Consider the following 21108-nt stretch of genomic DNA (forward strand, 5'->3'; position numbering starts at 1 on the left):
AGGGTGCTCGGTAAGGGAATGAATGAATGAGTTACAGGAGAATAAAATGAGTAGATGAGGAAGGAAGGCATGGACAACAGCAGCAAGTGGAGTCAGATCTGAAGCTCACAAAGTTCCTGCCTTGAAATCCTATTTACTGAGCTTCCTAGTAGCCATGGTGAAAAAAGAAGCATGATCAGTCTACAGGAGTGAAAGGACAACTAGATACGCCACACTAGTGGGTCAGGAGGCATGTGGCTCTTTTTGATACGGAAGCCAGATGGCTGTTTTCCCCTGAGAGACCTCCCAAAGAAGTGGCAGCCATGATCTCACAGCTATGTGCCCCCCAACCTCTTCGTGGTGCAGATAGGCACACTTGGGGATATGGCTGACTTTCAACACAGCCTCCTGGTGGCTGTTCTCACAGAAGAGTGGAAACAAGGAAGCTGCTTTCATGCCTGGCCCCACTGAGGGTGACCGTGCCCACATCTAGATGGGAGAGGCAGCTGCAGGGCCCTGAGAGGAGCGGTGGATGGTGGGTGTTCTGGCCATCACGGGGCTTCAGCCTCTGCCTGGCGTGCCGTCGCTCAGGAACAGACATGGAAGAGGCAGAGCACCTCCCATCCCACCTGCGGTAGAAATCATGATCTTAGGAAAGACAGTTCCCACGCACCCGGAGATTCCCGGCAGGTAGGATCCGGGGCAGGGTGCAGGGGCGTCAAGCTCCATGTGCGGTTCACTCGGCTCAGATGGTAACTAATCCCTCTCCAGAGAGGCAAAGGCGGAGGCGGTCGATACCCGCTCAATGGCTGAACACAGTCTGGAATGTTTTTGACAGGTTTCTCCTCAAGGTGGTAAAAAGTCTAACGGTCTGCAGAGTCTTGGCCGTGTCAAAACCCATCTGCAAAAAGCAAGGGGCTCCTGCGGGGCTCGTGTTTGCCGAGTGGAGACATAGCTCCTGGGCTCTGCTCGGCCCATCGAGGTTGGCTGGCCCCCTTGGGCTCCTGTTGCTCTCTGCCTCCCCCCAGCCTGTGTGCGTGGCAGGAAGCAGCAGCTAGAGAGGGCATTCAAGCAGGCAGAGGACGTCGGCAGAGCCGGGCACAGGAAAAACCCCACTGAACCCAAAAAGAGTTCCACTGCAGGTACTGTCCGTGTCTACAGGAGGCCGCAGGGTCACGGGGATCGCGTATGCGCAAAGTCCCCTAACATTAAAATGACATTTGAAGCAGGATACACGTGTTAATTTACACTTTAAACTCACAGAATTGAGGGAAGTGAATAAAAAGGAGAGTAATTAATTAGAAGGGAATATAGCAAAGTCCAGAAGACATTCTTGCTTCAGTGAATGGGGCCAGGGGGGAAAACTGGCGTCTAAGAGATAATGAAATCTCATCTTGTGTCTAATCCATGTTCTCGGCCTCTGAGCAGATGAAATGGTATAAAAAATAGAAATTGACAATGGGTCTAAAATTGCTTATTGATGAAACCGTGGAATTACGTGATAGAAGAAATCAATTAAGTACTAAGAGGTGAGGCCCCTGTGGAAAGAAGAGGCTTGGAAATTAACAAAGGAAATTGAGTTGGGTGGTGAGAAAAGGGCTAGAAATTATCTTGCCAAAGGAAAAGTAAAAATAGAAGGCCACTTTGAAAGACTATATCATTAAAAAAAAGTATGATGGAAGAGAGACTTGAAAATTGCATTCACCAGGGAAAGAAGCCTTCTCAAAATAGAAAGAAAACAGGGAACAATTTGCTGACTGAGCTCAAAAGCATCAAAAGCAATAAAACCCACAGAAAACAACAGCTCAAAGGAGAACATCAGGTCCACTTTGACGTTTTCCAGATGGGCAAACTGAGGCCCCAGGAGGGGCAGATTCTGCAGAGGAGATGCTTGTCTGCCATCCGTCCATCCCTCCTTCCTTCCACTCAGGAGGAGAAAGAGACAAGGGAGGAGGTGGCAGGGAGAGAATGAGAGAGAGAATGACAGAGAGAGAGAGAGAGAATGACAGAGAGAGAATGACAGAGAGAGAGAGAATGACAGAGAGAATGAGAGAGAGAATGAGAGAGAGAGAATGAGAGAGAGAGAATGACAGAGAGAGAGAATGACAGAGAGAGAATGACAGAGAGAGAGAATGAGAGAGAGAGAATGAGAGAGAGAGAATGACAGAGAGAGAGAATGACAGAGAGAGAATGACAGAGAGAGAATGACAGAGAGAGAGAATGGGAGAGAGAATGACAGAGAGAATGAGAGAATGACAGAGAGAGAGAATGACAGAGAGAATGAGAGAGAGAATGGCAGAGAGAGAGAATGAGAGAGAGAGAATGAGAGAATGAGAGAGAGAGAATGAGAGAATGACAGAGAGAGAGAATGAGAGAATGACAGAGAGAGAGAATGAGAGAGAGAGAATGAGAGAGAGAGAATGAGAAAGAAAGAATGAGAGAGAATGAGAGAGAGAGAATGAGAGAGAATGACAGAGAGAATGAGAGAGAGTGAGAATGAGAGAGAGAGAATGAGAGAGAATGACAGAGAGAGAATGAGAGAGAGTGAGAATGAGAGAGAGAGACAGAGACAGGGAAAGAGACCCCACATGGCCCCCGAGAGCTGGGTGGAAGACAGCCCGGTTGGTGCTGAGTATCCAACGCAGGGGCTGCAATTTGCTGGATTCCAGTCCCCACGTCCAGCCCACACACTGGAGGGGAGGAGGACCAAACCTCCAAATTCCCAAACCATCATGTTCCAGACTTGAGAGGACAAAAACAGAGACCCCCTCCACGTGCCTGCTGCTCCCCAGCTTTCTGGCTGTGGCCGCCAGCAGTTCCATCCACCCCCATGCTCAGACCAGAGCCCAGGAGCCTCCTGGCCAGCTCCGTCCCTACCGCCAGTAGGTCCTGTGGGTCCTGCCAGCCCTGACTCCAAAGCATGGCCCCTGGCTGGGGCAGCCATGTTGGGCTCTACCCAGCTGTCTCCTCCTCAGCGAGCCCCTCCTCCTGACCCCCTATCTAGAGGAGCCCTGTCCCCACCAGCCATAGCCACACCCACTCACCCAGTCCCTGTTTTGTCTTTGTTACAGCATGATTGTGGCCTGGTGTTACCTGACATGTTCATTTGCTTGCTCCTCTCTTGCCTCCCACCCACTAGAATGTCAGCTCCTGGAAGCTAAGGACCTTGTCCATTGTTGCTGCTTGCCTAGAAATCTTGGTGCGTAGAAGACATTCAATAAATGTTTGTTGAATGAATAAGTGACAGCCTCTGGCCTGAGCCAGATGCCCCTTGTCAGAGCTCCCACTGCAGCCTGCATTCTGTCCCTGTCCCCTGCCCTGTGAATCCCTTATCTGTCAGAGCTATCACTCCTGTGAGACTCAACCCCTCCAGGTTGGCCTCGGATCAGAGCCCCAGCACCTGGGACAGAGCAGGTGCCCCAGGCGTTTTGCCGAGTGGCTGATATACTCAGTTCAGAGCTGGCTGGGGGTGCTTCAAGCCAGATTTCAGAACTCAGAGGTTCATGCAGCTCCTGCATTTTCAGACAAGGAAACCGAGATCCACAGAGCTCATGGTGTGTGCCCCCAGGAACCTCAGGGCCAGCTGTGTCGGCCAGCATCTGTCTGCTCAGTCGGGCTGGGAGATGGGTAGCCGATACCTTCTGGGCATAGCAGAGATAAGAGGGCAGTGCTGGGCCCCTCAGGAAGTAGCATCTCCTCCTCCCTCCTCCTACTTCTGCTTAGGTGAAAATTGGATCTTCCCACCAGGAGGCTCAACCAATTTCTAGCCCCTGCAGGGGCTGTTCTGTTAATAATGTGTGGCAAGGATGGCCAGTCACAGGCCCGGCCGCTGTCCCCGGGAGCTCCTGTGTCCAAAGCTCCAGGTACGTAGGCAGCACGATCTTTCTGAGCCACAAGGAGACAGGCTTCCTGGGGCAGGGCAGGTGCTGCAGGGTCAGGACACCCCACGACTCCCCATGCCCCACTCTCCCCAAGATGCGCTGGTCCACACCAAGCCCAGCGTTTACTGCCTGCTGCATGCCCGAGAGGGCAGCAAGTCAGGGAGTCACCTTGTTCACGGAACCTCTGTTCTGGACCAGACCCTGCACCAGGGCCCAAGGCTGCGTAACTGTGATTCAGCCCTCCCGTGGCTGCTTGCCAGGCTCAGGGGGGGGTCCCTGCATCCTGGCTGGCATCTTCTGTTGAACGTAAGACAGGCATTTGAGGCCCACATGGGACCTCTGTAGATGGAGTCAAGGCCTGGGGTGGGAAACCCCAATCCTCACTGCAGGTCTGTGCAGGGTCTGGGAGGGGTCCCAGAACCTCAGACTTCCTGTCTGAAGGATGGGTGATGGCTTCCAGCTGGAGGTCTCCTAGCTGTGCCTGTGATGGCTCTGCCTGCTTTGTAGCGTGAGCCCAGAAACCACCATCTGGGCGAAACTAGGATCCCCTGGGCAGAGTCTCCCTAGCTCCCAGCATAGTGGGTCTGGTGGAGATGGCACAGGCGGGCAGGGATTGACCCATGACCGCTAGGCACCTCTGCCCTCTCACCTCCCTGGAGACAGACTTGGCCTGTGTCTCTCCACAGGGCAGCCCCCCACCCACCTGCTCAGCCAGATGTTCTCTCCAGGCACCGTGCCTCGAAAGCCCACCCAAGGGGCCGAGGGGCCCCCACACCCTGTCCTCGGAATTCTGGGGCTGTCACCCATGAAAGGGAGAAGGTGTGGACCCAATGGGATGGAATAGATACATAGATCAAACAGAAGGAAAGGGGATGTGTGCACCAGAATGGAAACTACACAGCAATGTGGAATGAATGGATCAAATCGTTATTTTATACCATAAGAATGATCGTATTTTCTGTGCTCCATAAGAAGGATGTGCAATCAGATCACCCTCTGACATTTACAAAACAAGCTCATCATTCTTTCTCATTCAGTGAAAACCATCCAGGGTAGGTGCTTTCCCCTCGCTGTATAGGAAAGGACGCCAAAGCTCCAAGGAGGGAAGAGACACAGTCTTCGAGTCTCCAGCCCACTGGTGTCATCTTTGAGGGCTTCGGTCCAGGCCTGCCTGGTCCGGCCTCAGCCACAGCCCCAGGGGGCCCCATCTCAAAGTCTCTGGAACCTGTATCTGACCAGCTGGTTTCAGACGGGCTTGGGAGGTGAACTTGGGGCAGAGGAAAGGAGCTTTCATTTCTGATAAAACCGAGTCACCGCACCTGGACAGTCCCTTGATACCTGTAGGTATCTGACATTTGCAACCTGGTCCAACAGCCCAGTTTCTCCAGGGCACAAAGTCAGCCACAATTCCAGAGAGTTTTTTCTTGTTTGTTTTTAATGTTGGGAAATTGCATGACCAAATTCATTTTACAAAGATCACTCTTGCTCACGTAAAGAAGACTAATTCGAAGGACAAATTGAAGGGCAATTTGTACACCTAAGATATTTTAAAATATGGATATTCCTTTACCAAACAATAGTATTTCTAAGAATCCACTCAATAAGAATAATCACACAAATGTGTATGCAAAGACCCATGAACAAGAATGTTTGCTGCAACTTTATTTGTAAAAGCAAAAATAAAAATTCTTCAGCAGAGAAATCACGAAACAAAACAATACTTCATACAACGAAATATTATGCAGCCAGTAAAAATGTGATACATCTATATGTGCCAACATGACAATATGTCCAGGAGTGAAACCAAATCATGGCAGAACAATACTAAACAACTTTTTTTTGGCAAAATATCCACCTATACATGTCAATGCAAAGACAAAGGTCTAGAATACAGACCATTACCATTGATTTCCAAGAGAAACATTTTCGTTTTGCAACAACAAAGGAAAAAGAAAGCACCAAACACTAGGTTTCACTTAATGCCTGATGGGCGCCCTCATCTCTGTGACAGAGCCTGGCGCTGAGGGCGCTGGGCCAGGGAAGTGGAAGTTGAGATATTGTGCGTTTTTGCATGCATACGTGTGTGTCTTCCTAGTTTTATGACAATTCTGGAAGCGTGGAAGGCACAAGGCAGTTAAGAGAGAAGCTCAGGCTGCCACCCCAACAAGAACGTTCTTCTTGAGGAAGCATCAAGATGGGATGAAGCCCCAAGGTCCCTCCCAACCCCGTCTGCAGTGCAGCCCCAAGGCAGCGGGTGCCCAGACAGCTGGCAGCGGGTGCGGAGGCAAACATGGAGGTGAATGTTTGCAGCTGAAATTTTGCAGACACCTCTGATGATGGGAGGCTGATCAGAAACGGATCTGGGAGCTATCAGATGAAAGACAGGCCTTGCTTTCCCTTCAAATTTGTTGACTTTTTTTTTTTTAAAGCCCCAACCACAAAGCATGAGCTCATGTGGGCATTTGCCGGAAAGGCGGCAGGCGGCCCCTGGGAGGCAGGCTTGCAGACATGGATGTTTCCACCGTGCCCTTCTAAATAAACACTGGGGCCCTTCAGCGGGGCTGCGTGCAGGAGCACAGTGAGGTGGGGTGGACCCAAAAGGATGGAATGGATAAAATAAATAAAATAGAAAGGAATGGAACATATACACTAGAATGGAAACTATAAAACAGGATGGAATAAATGCACAAAATAAGCCAAAGTTGATAAAACAGAGCGGGCTAGACTAGGAGGTAGAAAGGAATGGATAGAACCAACTAGAATAAACAAACAACATAAATTAGGTTGGAACTGAATAGCCAGAGGGAAATGGAGCAGAATGGGGAAAGGAAGGGGCTGGATTCTTACAGTGGGAGGGGACTTTGGTCACTTTGCAGAAGAGGTCAGTTCGCACGGACACCTGGAGACAGGGCCGGCCTCCCTTGATCAGCGCTGCCAGGAACAATTGGCGGGGCCCGTGGCTGAGGTTTGCAGGGTTTCCCTCGGAGGTAAGGCGGTCTAGGTGCAGACCCCAGAGAGAGCCCTGGGTAAGCCCAGGACCCTGCACCCTGCTCCAGCCCTGTCACTGACTTGGAGTAAAGCCCCACCCCTCAGCCGTTGTTTCCCTCACGTTCAACAAGGAGGTTTGCTAAGATAACTTTGAAAAGAGTCCTTCAATCTAAGGTCCTTTATTTCACAGTTACTGAACAGTTTCCTGAAGCCAAAGGAAACCGCAGAAATATGAATCGTCTTTCCTGCCTTGAGTCACAATTTTGATCTTTTGTTTATCGTGGATATCTTTGAGTTAATTTTGATTTTTACATAGATTGTGCTAAAATATTATTTATCTCAATTACTGAGTTTCTCTATTTACAATTTTGATCTTTCATTTATCGGGGATATCTTTGCATTAATTTTGATATTTAAATAGATTGTGCTAAAATATTATTTATCTCAATTACTGAGTTTTTCTGCGCATGCCCCCTCCCACCAAACTAAAGGTTGGGCCTCCAATAAGTGCTTCACTTGCCTTACCCCAGTCCCGTATTTTTGGTAGACGCCATGATGACTTCCTTCCACAGAAGACAAAACAGAGGTTCAGAGAGGTTCTCTGATGACAAGATGCTGCAAACACTTACAGGAGGGCCGCTCACTCTGTGAGAAGAAAAGTGATGATGACTGTGCTCGATGAACTCACACATGTGGCTCTTTCTGGGGCTGGGGATTTCGGGAGGCCTCGTACCAGGGGCTAAGAGGGGACAGACAGCCCCATTAGAAGAAGGACCTGCACATGCAAAGGGGTGGCGAGTTCAGCTGGAGCATAAGTCAGTGTGACTGAATTGGGGGCTGATGGGAGATCCAGGTGGGGACTTTGGGGGCCAGGTCTGGTCCATGCCCAGGCAATCTGTGTCTCCTGCATGTATGCCCTGGCTAGTGCCACCAGGCATGTCTGGATGACAGAGTGACAGGCAACTGTCGGGCAGCTTCTGGCAGGGGTTGAGGCAAAAGGCCCAAGTGGTGATGAGCAGGCCAAGAGAAGCCACTTTCTGTGCACTCATGGTCCCGGCCCCTCAGGGAAAAAGACCCTTCCCAGCCTCAGCCTGCAGGCGGGTTTATTTGGAAGGTATAGGATTTACATAAATCCTTGCCAAGTGCTAAGCACTGGAACCTAAACAGGAGATTTGAGCCACATGTTCCTGATTTCAGATTTGGGAAGAGATTGTGGAGTGATATTGGAACCTCTGCTTCTGCTCACTTTCTGGCCACTCACCAGCCTTCCAGGACAGCCCCCTCCCAGCCCCCACCTGCACAGCCAGCCCCTTCTTTGCCGCAAACCTTCGAGAATCAGGCAAAGCCACTGCTGTAGGCAGCTGGTGCCAAGATTTGCTTCGTGCTGGGGACACAGGACTGGGCTTGTGTCCCTGGGGAGCTCACTGTGCCAAAGGCCTGGCCCCTGTCCTGAGAGAGTTACGAGTCCAAAAGGAGCTCACAGCCCCGATCCTGTCCGGAGTTTGCCCAGAGCTTGAAGCCAGGGCCCTGTCTGTGGGAGCTCATGGCCCCAAGGCCCCAGTCTATTTGGCCTTGTTCTGGGGCAGCTCCCAACTTCACAGTTGTGATAGCCCTCTCCTGAGAGCAACTACAGTGTGAAAACCATCACCCTGTCCTGAGGGAGCCCATGGCCTTAAGCCATGCACTTGCCCTAAAACATGGCCTCATCCTGAAGGAGCTCAGTGTCCTAAAGACTTTATCCTGTCCTGCTGGAGATCATAGACCTGACAACATGGCCATGAGAGATTTAATATATAAACCGAAGATGGCTGGGCCATAGATGAAAACAGAACTCTGACCTACAACCTGCCCAGGAAACTAACACAAATCTACAACAACAACTCAGGAAGCAAACCTACGGTGAGTTAGACTTGCAGGAGGCCACGTGGCCATCTTTAGCGATGATCTAAACCCTGGCTTCTGTAACAGTTGGCCCCAAATGACCTGGACTTGATTGATAACTGATTGATAACTGACAGCTTCCCTAATTTGGCATGCGCGTTAATGACTGCCCATGTCCCCAGACCCTTCAGTCTTAAGAAGTAAAAGCTTTACGCTGCTGGTGGAGGGGTAGTGAAATCTGCAACCCCAGGGCACAGGCAAAAGCCCATTGTTTCTGGAGAGAAGGGCACAAGAAAAAACACTTTGCCTTGGGAGTAAAGTGGAAATGCACCTTGGGCCCTGCTGGATCTGGCCCTGATGCTAAACAGAAGCTGCAACTGCTAGGGAGGTGCAGGGAACTCCCCGACAAGACCAACCACAGACACAAGGCCAAGTTATCAGGGTAGGAAGGCAGGCAACGACCCGCCCCTGAAACCTGGTGCGGAGAACCTGCCCCAGACTGAGACTAGATCAGGACAACAGAGAAGACCTCAGACTTTCAGAACGAGCCTGGCATCAAGCTGCTAACAGGAGCAGTGTATGTGTGTGGTGTGAGGTAAGGGCCCAAGAACATCTCTTTGCACGGATATCCGGTTATCTCAGCACCATTTGTTGGAAAGGTTTTGGCAATGAATTGCCTTAGCATTTTTGTTAAAAATCAATTGACCATAAATATAAGGATTTATATCTGGACTCTCAAATTCTGTTCTGTTGATCTATATGTCTATCTTTGTGACAGTGTCTTATTGCCTTGATAAGTGCAGCTTAATAGTAAGTTGTGAAGTTGGGATGTGAACACCCTCTATAATAGAATGGTGGCCTCCAAGAAGATATGTCTACATCCTAATCCCTGGAAACTGTGAATTCAATCTTATTTGGAGAAAGGGTCTTTGCAGATGCAATTAAGTGAAGTATTTTAAGATGAGATGGTGCTGGATTGTCAGAGTGGGCTCTAAATCGAATAACAAATGTTCCTATGAGAGATGTACAGAGGAGAGAATAGAGGAGAAGAGCACGCCAGGCTGCAGGCAGAGAGTAGGGCGATGTGGCCACAGCCAAGGAATGCCAAGAGCCACCAGAAGCCCAGAAGCTGGAATGGAACAGAGACAAAATCTCAACTGAACTCCTCATAGGAGTGCAGCCCTGCTGACACCTAATTCCAGACTTCTGGTCTCCAAAACTGTGGGAGAACAGAGTTCTGTTGTTTTAAGTGACCTAGTCAGTGATATTTTGTTTGGGCAGCCCTAGCTGACTAATACAGTATCCTCTAACTCTGTTCTTACTTAAGATTGCTGTGGGCCGCCAGGCACAGTGGCTCATGCCTGTAATCCCAGCACTTTGGGAGGCCGAGGTGGGTGGATCACTTGAGGTCAGGAGTTCAAAACCAGCCTGGCCAACATGGCAAAACTCCATCTCTACTAAAAATACAAAAATTAGCTGGGCATGGTGGCATATGCCTGTAATCCCAGCTACTTGGGAGGCCAAGGCAGGAGAATTACTCGAACCCGGGAGGCAGAGGTTGTAGTGAGCCATGATCACACCATTGTATTCCAGCCTGGGCAAAAGAGAGAAACTCCATCTCAAAACAAAAACAAAAACAACAACAACCAAAAAAAGCAAACAAAGATTGCTGTGGTCATTCTGAGTCTTTTGAATTTCCATATAATTTTTAAGATCGGCTTCTCAGTTTCTGGAGAAAAAAAAATTTCTGGAATTGTGATAAGGATTCCGTTAAAACTGTAGATCAATTTGGGGAGAATTGTCATCTTAACAATGTTGAGTCCTCCAATTCATGAACATGGAACATATCTCCATTTAAATAGTTCTTTAATTTCCATAAGCACTGTTTTGTCATTTTCAGTCTATGAGCCTAGTACCTCTTTGTTAAATTTACTCTGAAGTATTTTATGTTTTTGATGATAACGTGAAAGTTATCATCAGATTTTTATTTTTATTTCAGATTACTTATTGCTAGTGTATAGAAATAAAACTGACTTTTGTATGTTAACTCTGTAACTTTGCTGAATTTGTTTATTAGTTCTAATAGGATATTTTTGTGGATTCTTTTAGTTCTTTTAGTTCCTATTGGTTCTAATAGGATTCTTTGTAGATGCAAAAGACCATGTTATCTGCAAACAGAGATAATTTTACCTCTTCCTTTGCAATTTGGACATCTTTTATTTCTTTTCTTACTACATTTTTCTGGCTAGAACCTCCAAGAAAATATTGGGTAGAAGTGATGAAAGCAGACATTCTTGTCCGTTACTTGTTCTTAGGAGGAAAGCATACAGTTTTTCACCACTAAGTTTCATCTTTGCTATAGATTTTTCCTAGATACTCTTCATTAACTTGGGAAAGTTCCTTTCTATTCCAATTTTACTGGCAGTTTTTTCTTTTTAATCATGAATAAGTATTGGATTTTTTTATATGCTTTTTCAGCATCTATTGAGATGACTGTATAATTTTTATCCTTTCTTCTATTGATATATATTTTATTAATTTATTTTTGGTTAACCAGCCTTTCCTGGAAGAAATCCCACTTGGTCATGGTGTACAGTTATTTTTATTTATATGCTACTGGATTCAGTTTGCTAGTATTTTGTTGAGGAGTTTTGCATCTATATTTACAAGGAATATTGATTTCCTTTTCTTGTGATGTCTTTGTGTGATTTGGTATCAGGACAATACTGACTGCATAGAATGAGTTGGAAAGTGTTCTCACATCTTCACTTTTTTGGTTTGCTTTGGACTAGTGTTAACTCTTCTCCAAACATTTGTTAGAGTTCACCAATGAGACCAGCTGGACGTTGACTTTTCTTTGTGGGAATTTTCCAGATTACTAACGAAATCTCTTCACTTGTTATAGGTATTAATATAATTCAGATTTTCTATTCCTTCAGTTTTGGTCATTTGTGATTTACAGAAAATAATTTAATTTAGATTATCTAATTTCTTGGCCACAAGAGTCTCTTATAATACATTTTATTTCTATAAGACTGGTAGTAATGTCCCCTTTCTCCTGATTTTAGTAATTTGTATTTTCTCTTTTGCTCTTAGTCAGTCTACAATAAGTTTGTCAATCTTTTCAAAGAACCAGCTTTTGTTTTTTAATCTTTTCTATTGTTTTTCTATTATTTTTTGTTAATTTCCACTTTCCACTTTCTCTCCTTATACTGGTTTGGGTTTGGTTTGCATTGTTTTTTCTAGTTTTTTAGTGTGGAGGTTTAGGCTGTGGATTTGAAATTTTTCTTCTTTTTTTAATGTAGGCATAAATTTTCCTTTGAGCATGACTTCCCTACATACCACAGTTTTGGTATCTTGCGTTTCTGTTTTCATTCCTATCAACATACCTTCTAATTTCCCTTGCAATTTACCCTTTGATCCATTGTTATGTAGGAGTGTGTTGTTTAATTCCACATATCTGTAAATTTCCCAAATTTCCTTCTGTCTTTGACTTCTAATTTCATCCCATGTGGTCAGAGAACATACTTTGCTGATCTCAGTCCTTTTAAATTTATTGAGACTGATTTTATGGCCTAACGTGGTCTATCCTGGAGGAATGTCCAGTGTGCTCTTGAGAAGAATACATATTCTGCTGTTGTTGAGTGAAATGTTCTATACATTTCTGTTAGGTTTAGTTGGCTCGTGGTGTTGTTCAAGTCTTCTTTTTCCTTATTTTGTCTAACTGCTCCATATATTAGTGAAAGTAAGGTATTGACATCTCTAGCTATTTTAGTTGAATTGCCTACTTTTATCTTTAATTCTGAGTTTTGTCTTTATGTCTCTTAGGACTATGTTGTTAGGTGCATACATGTTTGCGATTGCTATATCCTCTTGATGGATTGACACTTTCATCATTATAAAATGTCATCTCTGTTTCTAGTAACTTTTTGTCTTAAAATGCATTTTGTCTGGTATTAATATAGCCACTCTAACTCTTTTTATATTTTCATGGTACATCTGTTTCCATTTATCAATATTTTCTACCTGTTTGTGTCTTTGAATCTACATTATGTCTGTTATAGATTGCATATAGTTGGATCATATTTTTTATTCATTCTGCCAATCCTTGCATTTTAATTGGAGTTTTAATCCAATTGGTATGATATTTCATGTCATTATTATTATTATTATTTTCTTCAAATTTTTTTTAAGTTCAGGGTACATGTGCAGGACGTGCAGGTTTGTTACATAGGTAATCATGTACCATGGGGTTTCCAGCACAGATCATGTCATTATTGATAAGGTAGGATTTGTTCATCATTTTGCTGTCTATTTTCTATGTCTTATTCCCTTTTTGTTCTTATTTTCCACCATTACTGACTTATTATGTTTTAAATGGATATTTTCTAGTGTACCATTTTAAAACTTTTCCATTTCTTTTACTATGTATTTTTGAGTTATTTTCATGGTTGCATGGAGATTACAATTATTATCTCTATTTATAACAATTTACTCCAGATTAGTACAAAGTTAATTTTACTACTACACAAAATCTTTGTTTCCCTCTAGCTCTATGTCTTCTCCACTCTTTTATGCTGTTATTGTCATACAAAATACAACCATATACATTGTTTTCTCATCAACATCGATTTATAATTATTGGTTTGTAAAGTTTTCTTTTAAATTAGAGAGGAGAAAAAAATAACAAAGATACATTCATATTGTTTTTTTGGATTTACCTATATAGTTATATTTACCAGTGCTCTTTGTCTCTTTATGTAGATTTGAGTTACTATTTAATGCCCTTTCTTTTCAGCATGAAGAATTTCTATAGTATTTTTTGTATGGCTGATATTATGGCAATAGGTTTTTTTCAGTTTTTGTTTATCTGAAAATATGTTTGTTTTTTCTTTATTTTAAGGATAGTTTTGCTGGCTATAAAACTATTGGCTGACAGTCTTTGCTATTAACGCTTTCAGATGTTATGTTATTTTTTTCTGGCCCCACAGTTTCTGAGGAGAAGTCAGCAATTAGTCTTATTTGAAAACCATTGTTCCTTGTAAGTAGTTTTCTCTTGCTACTTTCAATACGTTCTTTTTGTCTTTGACTTTTATCAGTTTGACTATAATGTGTTTAGGTGTGGATCTCTGAGTTTAATCTACTGAGATTTTGTCAAGCCTCTTGGATGTTTTTATTAATGCTTTTCATCCAACTTGGGAACCTTTTAGTCATTATTTCTTCAATCATTTTCTGCCTCATTCTCTTTTTCATTTGGGGGCTCCCATTATGCATATGTTAGTACATGTGATGATTTTTACAGATATCTGAGACTCTGTCCATTTTATCTTCATTCTTTTACTTTTGTTCCCTATACTCAATGATCTCTATTGGTCTATTTTTAAGTTTACCAATTTCCTTACTCTGTCTCTCTCTCTGCCACCACTGAGAGAGAGAGAGAGAGAGAGAGAGAGAGAGAGAGAGGGAGAGGGAGTTTTTATCTGAGTAACATTCAAAACAGTTGATCATTCCATCCTTTTAATTTTATTATATTATTTTTTATTATACTTTAAGTTCTGGGATACATGTGCAGAATGTGCAGGTTTGTTACATAGGTATACATGTGCCATGGGGGTTTGCTGAACCCATCAACCCATCATCTACATTAGGTATTTCTCCTAATGCTATCTCTCCCCTAGCACCCCGCCCCCCAACAGGCCTTGGTGTGTGACATTCCCCTTCCTGTGTCCATGTGTTCTCATTGTTCAGCTCCCTCTTATGGGTGAGAACATGTGGTGTTTGGTTTTCTTTTCCTGTGTTAGTTTGCTGAGAATGATGGTTTCCAGCTTCATCCATGTCCCTGCAAAGGACATGAACTCATTCTTTTTTATGGCTGCATAGTATTCCATGGTGTCTATGTGCCACATTTTCTTTATCCAGTCTATCATTGATGGGCATTTGGGTTGGATCCAAGTCTTTGCTATTGTGAACAGTGCTGCAATAAACATACGTGTGCATGTGTCTTTATAGTAGAATGATTTATAATCCTTTGGGTATATACCCAGTAATGGGATTTCTGGGTCAAATGGTATTTCTGGTTCTAGATCCTTGAGGAATTGCCACACTGCCTTCCACAATGGTTGAACTAATTTACACTCCCACCAACAGTATAAAAGTGTTTCTATTTCTCCACATCCTCTCCAGCATCTGTTGTTTCCTGACTTTTTAATGATCTCCATTCTAACTGGTGTGAGATGGGATCTCATTGTGGTTTTGATTTGTATTTCTCTAATGACCAGTGATGATGACATTTTTTTCATATGTTTGTTGGCCTCATAAATGTCTTCTTTTGAGAAGTGTCTGTTCATATCCTTCACCCACTTTTTGATGGAGTTGTTTGGTTTTTCCTTGTAAATTTGTTTAAGTTCTTTGTAGTTTCTGGATATTAGCCCTTTGTCAGATGGATAGATTGCAAATATTTTCTCCCATTCTGTAGGTTGCCTGTTCACTCTGATGGTGGTTTCTTTTGCTGTGCAGAAGCTTTTTAGTTTAATTAGATCATATTTGTCAATTTTAGCTTTTGTTGCCATTGCTTTTGGTGTTTTAGTCATGAAGTCTTTGCCCATGCCTATGTCCTGAACTGTATTGCCTAGGTTTTCTTCTAGGGTTTTTATGGTTTTATGTCTTACGTTTAAGTCTTTAATCCATCTTGAGTTAATTTTTGTATAAGGAGTAAGGAAGGGATCCAGTTTCAGTTTTTTGCATATGGCTAGCCAGTTTTCCAACACCATTTATTAAATAGGGAATCCTTTCCCCATTGCTTGTTTTTGTCAGGTTTGTCAAAGATCAGATGGTTGATAAAGGGGAGATCACCACTGATCCCACAGAAATACGAACTACCATCAGAGAATACTATAAACACCTCTATGCAAATAAATTAGCAAATCTAAAGAATAAAATAAAATAAATTCCTGGACACATACACCCTCCCAAGACTAAACTAGGACAAAGTTGAATCCCTCAATAGACCAATAACAAGTTCTGAAATTGAGGCAGTAATTAATAGCCTACCAACCAAAGAAAGCCCAAGACCAGACGGACTCACAGCCAAATTCTACCAGAGGTACAAAGAGGAGCTGATGCCATTCCTTCTGAAACTGTTCAAAACAATAGAAAAAGAGAGACTCCGCCCTAAGTCATTTTATTAGGCCAGCATCATTCTGATACCAAAAGCTGGCAGAGACACAACAAAAAAAGAAAATTTCAGGCCGGTATCCCTGATGAACATCAATGCAAAAATCCTCAATAAAATACTGGCAAACCGATCCAGCAGCACATCAAAAAGCTTATCCACCATGATCACCATGATCAAGTCAGCTTCATCCCTGGGATGCAAACGTGGTTCAGCATATGCAAATCAATAAACGTAATCCATCACATAAACAGAACCAATGACAAAAACCACATGTTTATCTCAATAGATGCAGAAAAGGCCTTCGATAAAATTCAACACCCCTTCATGCTAAAAACTTTCAATAAACTAGGTACTCATGGAACATATCTCAAAATAAGAGCTATTTATGACAAACTCACAGCCAATATCATACTGAATGGGCAAAAGCTGGAAGCATTCCCTTTGAAAACCAGCACAAGACAAGGATGGCCTCTCTCACCACTCCTATTCAACATAGTATTGGAAGTTCTGGCCAAGGGATTCAGGCAAGAGAAAGAAATAAAGGGTATTCAAATAGGAAGAGAGGAAGTCAAATTGTCTCTGCAGATGACGTGATTGTATATTTAGAAAACCCCATCGTCTCAGCCCCAAATCTCAAGCTGATAAGCAACTTCAGCAAAGTCTCAGGATACAAAATCAATGTGCAAAAATCACAAACATTCCTATACACCAATAATAGAGAACCAAATCATAAGTGAACTACCATTCACAATTGCTACAAAGAGAATAAAATACCTAGGAATACCACTTACAAGTGATGTGAAGGACCTCTTCAAAGAGAACTACAAAATACTGCTCAATGAAATGAGAGGACACCAATGGAAGAACATTCTATGCTCATGGATAGAAAAAATCAATATGGTGAAAACGGCCATACTGCCCAAAGTAATTTATAGATTCAATGCTATCCCCATCAAACTACCATTGGCTTTCTTCACATAATTAGAAAAAAACTACTTTAAATTTCATATGGAACCAAAACAGAGCCCATATAGCCAAGACAATCCTAAGCAAAAAGAACAAAGCTGGAGGCATCACGCTACCTGACTTCAAACTATACAATAAGGCTACAGTAACCAAAACAGCATGGTACTGGTACCAAAATGGATATATAGACCAATGGAACAGAACAGAGGCCTCAGAAATAATGCCACACATCTACATCCATCTTCTTTAAAAAAAAAGTTTTATTGAGATATATTTCATATAATATAAAATGGATCCATTAAAAAAGTTCAGGTTCAGTGGTCTTTAATATATTTACAAATAAGTGCAACCAGCACCACAATAAAGTTCAGAATTTTTTTTTTTTTGGTGAAAACAAGAACCTCTCAGACTGCATTCTCTTTCTCTTACTCTCCAAGAGGAAGACAAGAACAATCACCAATGGTAAGTGGCAGCTGCAGCAAAGCAACACCAAGTGCCAGCTTCATGCTCAGGAGAGAACTCTGTGCCTCCTCCTCATAGTTTCTGGTGCTCTACACATTCAGAGAAACTTCTCTAGTAATGAACTATAGAAATGATCCCTGAAAGTATAGTCTTCAGAACATTTTTATTACTTCAGAAAGAAACTTGTATTCTTTAACTATCATCCTCCTACTTTCCATATGCTCTTCCTCCCAGGCCTAAGCAACTACTAATGTACTATCTGTCTCTATAAATTTTCCAATTGTGGACATTTCATATAAATGGAATTATATAATTTGTGGCCTCTTGTGACTGGCTTTCTTTACTTAGCATACTTTTTTCAAGGTTTACCCATATCATAGCATATATCAATACTTAATTTCTTTTTATGGCCAAATAATATTCCATTATATGGATATACCACATTTTGTTTATCCATTCATTAGTTGGTGGGCATTTGGATTGCTTCCACCTTTTGGCTATTACAAATTTTTATCAGGTATATGATTTGCAAATATTTTCTACCATTCTGTGTGTTGTCTTTTCTCTTCCTTAATAGTGTCCTTTGGAAAAACAAACAAACAAAAAAAATTAATTTTGATGAAGTCTGATATGTCTGGTTTTACTTTGGTTGCTTGTGCTTTTGATGTTATATCTAAGATCCATTGCCAAATCAAAGATTATGAAGATTTTACCCCTTCTGTTTCCTTCTAGAATTCTGTAGTTCCAGTTTTCACATTTAGAAATTTGATCCATTTTGAGTTAACTTTTGAATACAGTGTGAGGTAAGGGTCCAATTTCATTATTTTTGTGTGTGGATCTCTAGTTGTCTTAGCACCATTTGTCAAAAGACCATTCTTTCTCCAGTGGGTGGACTTGGATTCTTGTCAAAAATCAGTTTACCCTAGAAATGTGGGTTTATTTCTGTACTCTCAATTCTATTCCATTAATCTATTTATCTACCCTTCTTCCAGTACTGTACTATAGTAATTATTCTTGCTTTGTAGTAGGTTTTGAAGTCAGGAAGTGTGAGTCTTTCTACTTTGGTTTTCTTTTTAAAGATTATTTTTGCTATTTTGAATACCTTGAATTGCATATGAATTTTAGAACTAGCTTGTCAGTTTCTACAAAAAAAAGCTGAGATTCTGACAGGGATTGTGTTGAACTCATAGATCCATTTGGGAAGTATTGCCATCTTAACAAAATTAAGTCTTTCAATACAGGAACATGGGATATTTTCCCATATATTTAGAGCTGTATTAATTTCTTCCAACAATGTTTTGTGGTTTTCAGAGTATAAGCTTTGCAATTCTTTTGTTAAACTTATTCCTATTTCATTTTTATTATGCTTTTGTAAATACAATTATTTTCTTAATTTCATTTTTAGTCTGTCTGTTGCAAGTGTATAGAAATGCAAGTAATTTTTATGTATTGGTCTTATATCCTAAAACCTTACTGAATTTGTTTATAAGTTCTAATAGTTTTTTAAAGTGGGTTATTCATAATCTATATATATATATACAAGATCATGACATATGCAAATAGAGATACTTTTACCTTTTTTTTCCCAATCTAAATGTCTTTAGTTTTCTTTCCTTGCTAATTGCTCTGGTTGGAAACCCCAATACGATGCTGAATAGAAATGAGGAGAGCAGACATTCTTGTCTTGGTCTTGATCTTATAGAGAAAGAATCCAGTCTTTCACCATGAAATATGATGTAGCTGTGAGTTTTTCTAAGATGCCCTTTGTCAGTTTCAGAGAAAATTATCTTATATTCCTAGTTTATTGTGTGTTTTCATCATAATGTTTATTGGGTTTTGTCGTGTAGTTTGTCTGCATAGAGATGATCATGGAGTTTTTGTTTTTTAATTCTATTGATATAGAGTGTTGTATTAATTGATTTTTGTGTGTTAAACCAACTTTGTATTCCTGGGATAAATCTCACTTGGTCATGGTGTAGAATTATTTTTATACATTGCTGGATATGATTTGCCACTATTTTGTTGAGGATTTTGCATGCATAGTAATAAGAGATACTGGTCTGTAGTTTTCTCTTCTTGCGGTGTCTTTCTTTTGTTTTGGTATCAGGGTAATACTTGCCTCAGAATATTCATAATTTGGGAAGTGTTTCCTCCTCTTCTACTTCTTAGAAGAGATTGTGAAGAATTGGTATTCATTCTTTAAAAATGTTTGGCCTCTGATTCTTTCTTACTTGAGTTCAAATTCATTCTTGAGCTCTCTAGTGAATTTTTTATTTTAGGTGTTGTACTTTTAAGCTCCCAAATTTACGTATTTATTTAAATTCTTTGTCTCCCAAATCTAACATCTAGGTGCCTTTAGGGGCATTTTCTGTTGGTTGGTCTTTTTCCTTTGAATGGGCTATATGTTCCCATTTTATTGCATATGTCATAATTGTTTGTTGGAAACTGGACATTTTAGATAACACATTGTAACAATCTGTCGTTAGTTTCTCCTCTTCCAGGAATTGTTCTTGCTGGGTCTTTCTTTTCTCTTTTTGCTTGCTTTTGTTTTTATTTTTGCTGCCTGTTTGTTTAGTGGCTTTCCTGGCATAACTCTGTTTCCTGTACTATGCAGCCACTAAATTCCTTGTTCCCCACCTTTTGATCAGTTTGTTTATATCTTTAAGCCTGGTCTCCTGGGGTTCAGTCTTTTGTCAATACAATTTATTGCTCAGCAAGTGATCGATCAGATTTTCTTAACTGCCTTGAGCATCGGTTCTCCATCCTTTGCCAAAGTTATCTGTGTGGGAATGTACATACTTTCAAACTTCAAGCAGTTTAAAAACCCTCTGTAGTTTCCACTTCCTGCTTGTTTAGGGCCTCAAGGTCAGCAGTGAGCGACAGGGCCTCCTCCTTCCCCAGGTCTTTCTTGGACGTGTATATAGCCCTGCACAGGCAGAAATACAGAACTCTTCAAGTTCCCCATGGCTTTTTAGTTCTATATGTCTTCCTTTTCATTTTTCGGCCAGGCTCTTGTTAGCCCCAACTGAAATCATAGCCTTAGGCAGCAGCAATGTTACCAGCAGATTCTTACCGTTTTCAGTAGTGCCATGGGCATGAAGTTTTATTTGCAGAGCTGAGTTCACAGACAAGTCAAATAGCAACAACATCATAGGAATAGAGATATTCTAGGCAGCTTCTGGTTGGGCTAAACTACTGACTTTCTCTGAGTATAGGCCCTTTAAAAAAATTTTTTTTTTGAGGCAGGGTCTCACTCTGTTGCCCAGGCTGGAGTGCAGTGGTCCGATCATGGCTCACTGCAGCCTCGAACTCCTGGGCTCAAGTGATCATCCCACCTCACAGGTGCATATCACCTGTGGGATCACAGGTGCATATCACCATGCCTAGCTAATTCTTAAAAATTTTTTTGTAGAGACAGGATCTTGCTATGTTGCCAGGGCTGGTTCCAAACTCCTGGGCTCAAGCGATCTTCCTGCCTCAGTCTCCTGAAGTGCTGGGATTGCAGGCATGAACCACTGTGCCTGACAAAATAAAAATTACTTTTAATTGACACATAGTGATTGTGTATATATATATATATAAAATGGATAATGATGTTTCAATATATGCCATGTTAATGATCAGATCATGGTAATTAGGATATCCATCATCTCAAACATTTATCATTTCTCTGTGTTGAGAACACGCAATATCCTCTCTTCCAGCTACAGAGCTTTAAAGCAGTCAATCCTCTTTTGGCTGCGAGAATGTTGGCTTTTCACCACCACTGCACCTCTG

At 42.2% G+C, this 21108-nt stretch overlaps 1 non-coding gene across 1 annotated transcript, besides 1 other annotated feature; it reads right to left on the reverse strand.

The window, feature by feature from the left end:
• Positions 5789 to 6290: an enhancer, noted in NCBI's record as "H3K4me1 hESC enhancer chr14:101600337-101600838 (GRCh37/hg19 assembly coordinates)". NCBI's record gives its function as "activates a minimal SCP1, AML or CMV promoter by ChIP-STARR-seq in naive H9 embryonic stem cells {active_cell/tissue: H9 hESC(naive)}" and the evidence as "EXISTENCE:reporter gene assay evidence [ECO:0000049][PMID:30033119]".
• Positions 17269 to 17484, reverse strand: LOC124903435 (small nucleolar RNA U3). Its single transcript, XR_007064413.1, has one exon. It is a non-coding gene; the product is annotated as a small nucleolar RNA U3 (small nucleolar RNA).
• Between the last annotated feature and the right edge of the window lie 3624 nt (positions 17485 to 21108).

Source organism: Homo sapiens, chromosome 14 (assembly GCF_000001405.40).
Source record: "Homo sapiens chromosome 14, GRCh38.p14 Primary Assembly".
Classification (NCBI taxonomy): Eukaryota; Metazoa; Chordata; class Mammalia; order Primates; family Hominidae; genus Homo; species Homo sapiens.